This window comes from Homo sapiens, chromosome 2, assembly GCF_000001405.40.
Source record: "Homo sapiens chromosome 2, GRCh38.p14 Primary Assembly".
In the NCBI taxonomy this organism is placed as follows: domain Eukaryota; kingdom Metazoa; phylum Chordata; class Mammalia; order Primates; family Hominidae; genus Homo; species Homo sapiens.
The window spans coordinates 163,332,022-163,343,727 of record NC_000002.12 but is presented as its reverse complement, the minus strand read 5'-3'; positions in this window follow the sequence as shown (position 1 = coordinate 163,343,727).

Here is an 11,706-nt window from a genome sequence, read left to right as displayed (position 1 = left end):
TTGTTTGCAACCTAATAAATCTAACTGACATAATGCAATGTCTTTTTCAGGGGGCAATTTGTAGATTCATAGGTGACATTTACAGAAATTTCACAAATTTTCATTTCAAAGGATGGGAGCTTGGTTGAGTCAGGTCCTTGGCCCAAGCCAAGTAACATGCTTGCGCCGTAGAGTGGGATACAGTTCTAAGCCTCCTGGTGGCTACAGCGTTATGCTGAAGCACGGATTAGTCACTCCCATTCTCATGATCTGCTGGGTTTTATGTATAGCATGGTTGACATAAATTCTTATCTTCTTCATCCTTGCAATCTAATATTAGGAATGTTGATTTCGATGGAAAAAAAAACAATGTATGTAATGGAGATGAAGTAATTTTAGAAAACGAAATTATTACGACAGCATGAGATATTTGTAGTATATGTAGGTGTCAAATGTCATGCAGTTTAGTGCAAGAAGTATCTTTCCTAGATGAAGTGAAATTTAGTGTTTTTAATAATGGAGGGAGCATGTTTGGAATCTATATGTTTATGTATCTGCATAAATAACAGTATATTTACAACTTGAGAGGATGTTCAATGAAATTCCTCTCTTTTTCTTAAGATAATTGTTACACATACAATTATGTGTAACATAATTAAGTATGAATTGTGGAAAATTGTCTTTCTTTAAAACATCAACAGTAACAAAGCATGACACAAGCATTTAATAAAGGCATTATTGTAAACTTTCTTCATTCCTGAGAACCAACAGAAAAATCTCAAGAGACAGACCATTAAATCTTCTTCCTCAGTGTTAACTTAGGCAGCAGCTCAGGAGACATCTCTGAGGGTGCAAGACACTTATTAGAAGCACGTTTAGGAATTTCTGACTGTTTTTCAAAAACTACTTCTGCAGAAAACAACTGCATTGTTACCAAGCATTTCTGGAAACCATGTATAACTGAAGAGATTCAATTCATTAGAAATATGATAAATTATAAATGGTAAAGGTTGGAAAAGGGTAACTTGTGGGGGAAATATAAATTAAATATGAGAGGTATAATGTAACTATCAGAGATCACTTGGTATATATCACTTTATTATGTTTTATATTATACTTTTTGAGATAAGTCAATTACCACAGTATTATTTTATGCCTCACTTCCTTTATAGGAGAAAAAGCAGAGAAAAAATTTGGAAATAAAAATGTCTAAAGTGTGTTTTGTTTTCCTTTTTATACTATTATCTAAACATTCTGATATTCGTAACATAAACCATATTTATTAATCCTTCATCAACTATAATTAATTCCCATTACTTTTTTCTTCCAGGAGGAATTATTACTAAAGCCAAGATTTTTCTCACAAACCATTATCTTTCCTTGATCTGGCATTGTATATTTTTTTCAATGGATTCCAAATAATAAATATAATGTCTTCTATTTGTGTATTGATTCGGATTCAGTATTTTCATAATTAAAGTTTCACTTGCTTCTCTTAATCAACGGGTGCTTCATTTTGATTGGTAAATTTGTTTGACTTCTTCAAAAATGAGACTTAATGATCAGCCCAAGATAACCCACATATTAGGAGATTAAATACGCTTAAAGCACAGATCTTGAGGCTCACAGTCTGGCAATTTTTAATTTACTCACTTACTTATTTAGTTTTAAACAAGTATTTATTGAGCACCTACTTACTCTTCCAGGCACTGGTTAGCACTGCTTTCTATCTGAAACAACTTTTCCTTGCCCAGGAGTAAAGCAGGCAAGATTATTAGAGTGATGTGTTTCACAAGCCACTGCCTCAGGGATCAATTGAGGCTACACCTTCAGGCAACCATTTTATGACTACTTGCTTGTAACTAATTCACAGGAAAGATCTTTTCTGTTTGGTTTTGTTTTAATTCTGTTCTGGACTGTCCACCTGGGCACGTTGGAATTGATGCTGAATATGATTTCATAACAGCTAGGCCCAACTTTGCTCCAACCACTCTTACATCTCCAGACCCAGCTCTGAGAAACCTGAATGTGGGGCCACTTCAATCTCCTCTCCCCACTAGGCCTGATTCACCACCACACAAACCCTAACCTGTCTGGGAAAGGAGTTCTTTATCTAGAGCCAAACCACATATAAATCTGTAATTCTGAACATCAGGAAATGCCAGCTGCATAAGTATTCACATCCCCTCCCCCCGACTTTTTCTTTCTTCTTTGTGCTTTCCTGCTTCAATAGGCTAGATTTTCATCCAGTTGCCTTTTCATTTCCTTTTTTTTTTTTAAATCTCTCCTTCTACTGACCTCTGCCATTTTAAAAATCATTTTTATGCGATGCTGGGCAAGTCACTTAGCCTTAATGCGTCTGGCTTTGTTACCTAGATACGAATAACTTTACCTGAAGAACTGTTGTGATTAATATATTTAAAAGTGCTTCACTTCATTCCTTTTACATAGTGGTGTGATTGGTGAGTGCCTTATGAAGACTGGTCTTCCTGGGATTCCTGGACAAAACCTGCAGACAGCTTCTAAGCTAATTTGAGGTTGGTATAATGATATCAAGTGTTCATTCTATGTAAACAACTTACTCTGTTCTACTACATTGTTATTTTAGACCGCACATTTCAGCTATTCCTATAGTGTTTGCTATCCTATTATTGTTGTTGTTAGATTTTTAATTGACAACTTTCTCACATATTGAAAACATCAGTAACCAAGTAGCAAGTTGGCTATTATATCCTCTAATTTAAACTTCTAAATTAGAGAGTGCAAGGCCTCAGTATTCTCAATTTATAATCACTTGTTAAGAGATCTTACCCTTTGCTCTAAATTCTTGCTATATAATAATAATTTCCAAATGTATGTCCTTTATCTGATCTATTTCCTAAACTTCAAACTCATATATCCAACAGCCTACATGACATCTCCACCTGGATGTCCAAGGAGCATCCCAAACTTGTATCTCTAAATCTAAATTCTTGATACTTCCCCCAAAATCTTCTCCCTCTAAACTTTCTTTGGCTTAATTATGTAGGCTAAACATGTAGAGCCAATTCTTAGATGTTTTTTACACTCATAATTTAATCTAATCTTTAAGTAAATCCTGTCAGTTCAAATTTCAAAATGTATCCCAAACCAACCACATTGATGCTACACACCTAATCCACTCCTCCATCACCCTTGCCTCAACTTCTATAATACTCCTGGAGGGTGTCCCTGCTTTCAGTCTTGCCCCTCTGCAGTCTGTTCATCATATAGCAACCAGACAGGTGTACTTGAAATGTAAATTAAATCATATCCCTTTCTGCATAATACCTTTCAAATGCTGCTTCTACTTAGAATAAAATCCAAAGTTCTTATGTGGACTCAAAAGTTTCTGTCTATTGAACAAATAATCTAAATTAATGAGAAAAACTTGTGCTTACTTCTAATGTATTTCTGACCACTTTTCCACTTTTCCCACTGGCCTCTTTGTATTACTAGAAAAGCATTCCGACTAGTCGCATTGCTCTGATTATTCTATCTGCTTGGAGAGTGCTTCATCCAGATATCTATATAGTTCACATCTTTGCTTCATTCAAGGTTTTGCCCAAATGTCACTGGCTTAAAGAAATATACTCTGACTATCCCGTACATTTTATTCAACCAGATATTTGCCCTTTCTGTCTCTCTTGCTACAATCCTGGTGTTTTAGGTTTCTCTCTAATTATTTCCTTTCCATTTGAAGAACCTCTTTTAGCATTTCTTTTAAAGCAGCTCTACTGGTGACAAATTCTTTCAGTTTTCCTTCATCCTAAAATGATCTTATTTTGTTTTACTTTGTGAAGGATATTTTAATTGGATATAGGACTCTGAATTGACAGTTTTTTTTTTCATTTCATCACTTTCTGAATGCTATTTCATTGTCTTATGGCCTCCATGGTTTCCAGTAAGACATCTGCAGCTATTCATATTTTCATTTTTTGGTACTGTGTGTTTTTCTTTCCCCTTCTGGCTGAATTAAGTTTTGTTTGTTAGTTTTTGATTTTTTTTAACTTATCCTGTTTGGGGTTTAGTTTCCTAAGCTTATATGATTTGTAAATTTGCCTTTCACCAAATTTGGAAAAGTTTTAGTCATGATTTCTTTATGTATATTTTCTATACAAATAAATTTCTCCTCTCCATCTGAGACATTTCTGATATGAATGCAAGACTTTGATATAGTCTGGTCCCTAAGGCTCTGGTCACATTTATAAACTCTTTTTTAAACTTTTTAAAACTTTTTCTTTATATGTTTCAAAATGGATAATTTTTATTGCTCTATCTTTGAGTGCACTAATTCTTTCAATTCTACTATTGAACTCCTCAGTGAATTTGTAATTTTTTAAATCATATTTTCTACTTCTAAAATTTCTGTTTGGTTTTGTTAAACAGCTTCTATTTCCTTGCTGAGAACTTTTATTTTTTCTATTTGCTTCAAGAGTATTTTCACTTGCTTCTTACATCATTGTTACAAAGGGTGCTCTAAATTCTGTGTCTGAGAATTTCAACATATGAGTTGTCTGAGGGTTGACATTTGCTGATTGTGTTTTTTCTTAAAAATTGTTTAGGTTTTCCTGGTTTTATGTACATTGGGTAATTTTGGATTTTATCCTAAAATTTTGAAAATTTTAAACAGGGAATTCTATCTTATTATAAGACTCTTGGTCTTGTTAACATCAGGAAAACATTACTTTTTCATTCTCTCTCTCTGTCTTTTTCTTTTTTTTTTTTTTAAGTAAGCAGTCAATTCAGTGAGTTATAGATTTCAAGTCCATAACTTTTCTTCTATGGCCTCTGGTTCCAATGTCAGATTACTTTCCAAAACTTGTTTCTGGTCTTCCCTGATTATACATCCATCACCCAGGGGTGAGTCTGGAACCTGTGCAGTGTTTTACTCTGTAATTCAGTTTTTAAGTCATTGCTGCATTGATGCCTTTTGCTTTCATTCATGTTCAGTTCAGCTTGGGGGTAATCTCAGAATTTAATAACAGATCCAAAAAGTTCCTTTCTCCAGCTGCATCCTTTCAGTGATCCTGTCCCCAGTCTCTCTTTCTAAGGATTTCCCCTTCTGGTGTTCCGGAAAGAAAGCTGGGGTTTTAGATTTCTATGCTATTGCCCATTTTCCATTTCTTGGCTGGCTTAGTGGCAAAGCTGCAAGACAAAGCATTTGAGAGCCTCCTGAGTTGCCCGTACTGCTGCTGCTGCTGCTGCTGCTGCTGCTGCTGCTGCAGGAGGTTGTTTTTGTTCTTGGCTCTCACCTGGAGGAGGGCCCAGAGAGTAAAAAAAACTTTACTCTTCAGGTACTGCTGTCATAAGGTGGGAATGAGGGGCGCTGCATCTTCCTTGCTGCACTTGTGGAAAGGAAAGTGGTGCTGCTTTATGGCTGCTCTGTTGTTAGTTCTCACCTGGTATAGGGCAGCAAAAGTCAAAAGGGATTGCCACTGCAGCTACCACAATTACATGCCAGTGAGAATATGGAAAGATGGTATGATTATCTCATATGAAGTCTCTTTGCACTTATCTTCTATCTGCTTATGTCACATTCTATGCTTCACAGCACATGTACACACTCACACAAACACACACACACACACATATACACACACATGTAACATAGGAACAACTGAATACTGGATGGTAGCAAGAGTACACAAGGCCTGCTTGTGCTTCCTGACAGGACATCTAGGAGGATCTACTTTCTCATCTTCTTGTGTGTGTACTTGAGATTTTAGTGGGAAGATAATCATTTTTGTCATTGGAAATGCTGGGCAAATGCTTTTCTCCCCACTGGGAATTTAGGGAAACTACTGAGAGATGGGATTATGGAGTTAGAGTCAAATAGGAGAATAAAAACGTAAGACTTTGGATGTACTAGCAGATCTAAAGTGTCTGTATAGGAGATACAATTCCAAAGTAATGATTTCTCTAGAAAAAAAAAAAACAGTGGTTATGCTGCTGAATAGTGGAATTGAAAAAAGAATGTGGCTGAGAAGAGGCAGGCATAAGCAAAACTGCCAAAATATACTTGTCATTTTTCATATCTGAGCAACCAGGCTAAGACTTTTCTGCAACATCCCTTTTCTATGAAAATAAAAACTTATAAAGTTAAGTAGTGTTCTCACCTATAGGAAGCCTAGTGAGTTTTAAGGTGGTCCTCATACAATAAAATTGCACATATCCAGCTTTCTTGATTAAATAATGACAGAAGTGTATTTTTTAAAACATTCTGTTTTCTTTCCATTCTGTGCTGTCTATTGCTGAAACTGTAGCGGTTTCCTTGGAGACTAATAAAGAATGAAACTTGATTGGCTATATTGGCAGAAATATTGTTGGTGGACATTTTGAGAAATATTTACATATCAGCTGTACATAAAAGAAAAAATGCTTAACTCATAGGAGATTTGTTTTAATTGCAGTACGAAAAATCCCGTGGACAAACTAAAATTAGAGATGGGAACAATAACCTAGTATGTCATCTTGTCAATCATCCTGGCTATTATTCATTTAATTATTCTCTTCCTTGTCTGATACAGTTAAACTAATTTTATTCTTTTAGAATATTTTTCAACTAGACAATTTTAAAACAATTTTCTATATATTCTATATCTTTCTCTTTTTAACCAATCCAGCCTGCAAGATTATCAGAGGGAAAAGAAGATGTACAAAGAATGACTCTCAATTCCCTTCTGATACACAAGAGAGGATAAAAACAATCAACAAGCAAAAACAACCTTAAATGTGCATGCTATACAATGTTCTCCAAATCCAGAAGCACTAGATTCAGGTTTATTTATAAGACAATGCAGTAAAGCAGAGGATGGAATCAAGAGGTTACTACATAGGAACCACTTATATTTAAGGTTACAGATTGGAACCAAGGATTCAGTTCTAGCTGCCTCTTCATTTGAAAATAGATAGCTAAGTAGGCTTGTTTCATAATTTTACTTCAAGATTTTGATACAATATTTTTACTGTTTTCTGCATCTGTCAATTTCATTCCCAAAACATTTTCAGTCAAGAAGAAAAGCCCATCAAATTTTTTTCTTGAATAAAGAACTGCACCATTTATTGATAGGTATATATTTTTAAAGGGGAATGCAGCAAAACAAATGGCAAGGGATATTTTATCTATGCTTGATCTTAAAATTGGATTCTACAAAGGACTTTAAGATGGTTTCTGCTGTGTACATTTTGCTTACTTAAGTCAGTTTTTAAATTTAATTCAGTAATTATAAGAGAACAACTGATGTTCCTTACACTGACCTAGGTGCAAATGGAAAAACAAGGGCTCTAAGTGTCTGACCTGAAGGAGATTTAATCTAGTTTGGTAGACAATGAAGACAAGGGGAGATGTAAAGTAGCATGTGATTAATTAAAAAAAATCTGTCCAGATGAGCATATTATTGTGGCCAGACTGCAGTATAGTTAGAAGTCATTATGTAATATTAAAATAGCAAAAAGGAGACAAATACCTCACTATATAAAGTGTTCAATTGATATTTTTGGACAAAATTTACTATTTACTCTCAGATAATAATTTTTATATACTATCGTGGTTTATAGGTTGACATACTATATTGTAAATTCTGTCTCATTGAAAACATTTCATTCCCTGGATGTTTCTTTCAATGCAGAAATATGGTTTATGGGAATACTTTTCTAGTATTTAGAGCTGTTCATAAAAATAGAATGGGCAGGAGGTAGTGAATTTTTCATCACTGAAGGTGTAGAGGAGGGAGTGAAAGACCACTGCTGAGAATGTTGTAAAGATATTTCATGGTTTTGATAATGGCTGGAATTGATGACTTCTGATATCCTTAAAAAATCTGTGATTTCATGAGATTATGACAGTCAATGACATGCTATGACATTCAAATAAGGGGGTCTTCATTGTGAACTAGAATAGTCTGGGAATTCTCAGGCAGATATGAACCATAGGCTAGGTTTTCAATATCAGGTAGGATTTAGGTAGATGGAGGAGCAGTGTAAGATCGTTATAGTGAGAAAGTAAGAAAAAAAAAAGCAGAAAAAAAGAGATACACAAATGAGCTTCGCATCTTTGGAGACAATGAATAATTTGGCCTTACTAGATTATAAATTTGATGCTGGGAATTTAGAAGATAACAAATTGTGCAGCTCAAATTCTGAAGAGCTTTTAGTACTAGGCAATGGGCAGGTCGGAACTTATTTTATTTAGCTACTATAGAACTTTTGGATTTATGTCACTATTAGGATAACCTGTTGATATAGGTAGTAGAAGGGAGAATAAGATAGGTAGGTAATTTAGGCATTAGATAAGGATTTAGTCTTAGAGGATGCCAGTAAGAACACGATCTGTGTACAAATTATTTTGAAATGATTCTATTCATGTTATCTGACACAGAGCAATGAACATAGACTATTATTCCTCTTCTCATCTAGAGTGAAACAATCCAAAAGTGAATATCATTTGCATTATGACACTAAAATCACCTTTTGATCATGTGTATTAGTGAGGATTCTCCATAGAAACAGGGAAGAAAATGAAGAGAGAGGAGAGAGAAAGAGACTGATTTTTAAAAATTGACTCACACAGTTGTAGGGACTGGCAAGTCTGAAATCCATAGGGCAGACTGACAGGCTGGAGACTAAGGTATGGGTTGATGTTGCAGCCTTGAATTCTGAATTCCCCAGGATAGCAAGCTGGAAACTCTTTTGCTCTAAAGGTCTTCAGCTGTTTGGATGAAGTCTGCCCATGTTATGGAGAACAACTGTTTTACTCAAAGCCCACTTATTTAAATGTTAATCACATCTAAAAAATACCTTCACAGTAACATCTAGACTGATGTTTGACCAGACAACTGGTTATCACAGCCTAGCCAAACTGACACATAAAATTAAACATCACAACATGTAATAGTATAGGCAAGAAATGACTTGCTGTTTGGCATTGATGAACAACTATATTTGTATACACTCACACACAGGTATGTGTATAGTTGAAAACTTATTAGAAAGAACTATAGAAACATGATTAGTGGGAGTAAGTTCTCTCTAACTATCCATAACTATAGTTCATTAAGACATGACTTCTAATAGCTAGAGTAATTGATATAACAACAGAGTAAGCCCAATATAAACAGCACTTTTAAACTTACTTTAAAAAAATATAATACAGAATAACAGGAACCTACTACATACTCCCCCCATCTCATCCCACCCCCCAAAAGGAAGTAACTAGATGCTCCCTTCTGATAATTTTCTACATTCCCTGTGACGTGGAGAGGGGGAAAAAGATATTTCACATGGGCTTTCCAGTATTCCACTCCATGGTAATTAGAAATGCCACATCATTATTGCTTTTTTCATCATATCTTCTGATTATTTTTCCTTTCTTAATTGAATTCAATCCCTATATATACACACGCAAAGTTTCTCTTCCATATTTTCCTTACTTTCTAAGTTTCTTTATCTTCACAATTAAATTATTAGGTGTAATTAATCATTACACTTAATAGCTAAAGCTTTAGAATGGCTTGCTCTGACAACAGAAAAAAAAGACTTATTTGGCTAAAAGTTAAATTCATTGATATTCTTATCTAGTCACCACATTTAAAAAATCTAAGAAGAGAGTGAATTTTGCATATGAAGAAGTAATTAGATTATTACAACTTAAAAAAATCAAATTTGCATTCTAGTAGGTTATGCTCCAGAGATACATCGTATAGACAAGTGGTTTGGGGTAGATCATTCCTTCTTAAATCTAACCAGAATGATTTTCACACACCCAGACACACACACACATGGCAGAAAGGGAATAAAAATGGTAATATTCAATTTAGTGACCCCTGGGCAGAACAAACAATTTAACTTTAAAGTAAAATTAGACAATATGGAATAAAATTTGATATTACACAATAAGATACGCATCCCTGAAGAAAGCATTCAATTTGTGATCATACTAAGGGAAAATGTTCAACTGGGAAGAATGCCCAAGGAGAAAAACTTGGTAATGGGGCAACCTAGAAAGAAAGCCCAATAAACGAGTTATGAAAGAAATATTGCTGACAGCATGGTCTGCTTAAACAATAAGAACAACAAAAACCTGTCAGTCAATTTCACTTCTCAGAAATTTATTCACTGAGTCTTGATAGTAAAATGGTCTTAGTGATGACTAAAGAGTCAAGATTTGTTAGTTCCCCTCCCTCAAACACAAGGGTGTAGCAAGTCATTTTATGATAATCATTTTTGTTTTTTAAAAGAAAATAACATCAGCAAAATAAAATTAATCAGATTATTTATCTGTACCTCACAGAGAATATAAGGATTAATGAGTTAATTATTGTGAAATAGTAAAACACTTTGAGACATCTGAATAAAAAACTGGAATAGTTATTTATGGCTTTGCTAGAATGTCTCAGTAATCATAATTACATTTTAGTATGGACTTCTTTTATAGGTTAGTTACCTTATATATATTTTTCCTAGTAAAAATTAAACTTGTGGCATAATTTAGTACCAGAAAACATGTTAGAAAGAACAAAATTACCTGAATAAGACAATGCCAAAAATAACATACTATTGATTCCCTCCTGATAGATTATCATTTTCTCCTATTAACCTAGTAATTTCCTTGTCTATGATTATGGTTAGATGATTAGACAGGAACTATATAGATCAGTGCATGCTTCTTAAAATGAGACATATTTGTGGGCATTTGGTTATTTTCTCCTTAAAAGATATACTTAAAAACACTTTGAAACAATTTGATAAAAAAATTAAATGAAAATGAATAACAGTTATTAGCTTACAAAAATGTAGTATGCTTAGTATTTCTTTAGTTGAATGCAATAGAAAAAGACCAGTTAAGCCTGGACAGATAAAAGGAGAAACAGAGGAGCAAACAGCCAAATAATTCAAGGGTTGGAAAGACCTGGAGAGGTCATGAAGGTTACCACCTTTCTGGCAGGACCACACTAAAAACTACTAAGCCAGTGAGAATGTAGCCTGGTGTTGAGAACAAAACAAAACAAAACAAACTAAGCTATAAACTAAAATTCTCTAGTACGAGAAATAGCTTTAGGTGTCTTCAATTTCCCTTATTTTCATCCTGGCAATTAAAAGATTTATTTTGATTTTAATATTACTCTTTATTAGGCATTGACGATCTTGTTGTAAATGTACCAAGTATATCCTTCTATAGCATTCATTTCATTGGGTAAATAAAATTAAAGCTTTGAGTTCTGAAAAATAGGCTTCACATCTCTCCTGTTCACGTTGACTCTTTGATACCTACGCTCTGGCAGGCTTTAACAAGTTTTTTAAATAACTTGATAATATTTTCTAGATAGAGGAGGACTAGGCATCCTTTGGTATAGGTGTTACTAAAATGCAACAAAGGTGATTTCTGCTGACACACTAATACTTATCAGCACCTCTTTTCTCCTTACTTTATCTTTCTTCTCAACTTTCACACAGCCTCTTCATTCTCTCTGCTCTACCTGCCCCAATTTGCCCTCTTGTTTTCTTTTTCTTTCTTTTCTTTTTTCCTTCTGCAAACCTCACCTTATCATCAGCAGGTATCCTTTTGGCACTTAGGGTTAAAGATGTCGCCTAAAAAGTATGCTCTGCAGAATCAATGACATTGACATCACCTGGGAGTTTATTAAAAATGAAAAACCTTGAGACCCACTACAGAGCTTCTAAAACAAGACCTGCCTTTTAGCAAGATCC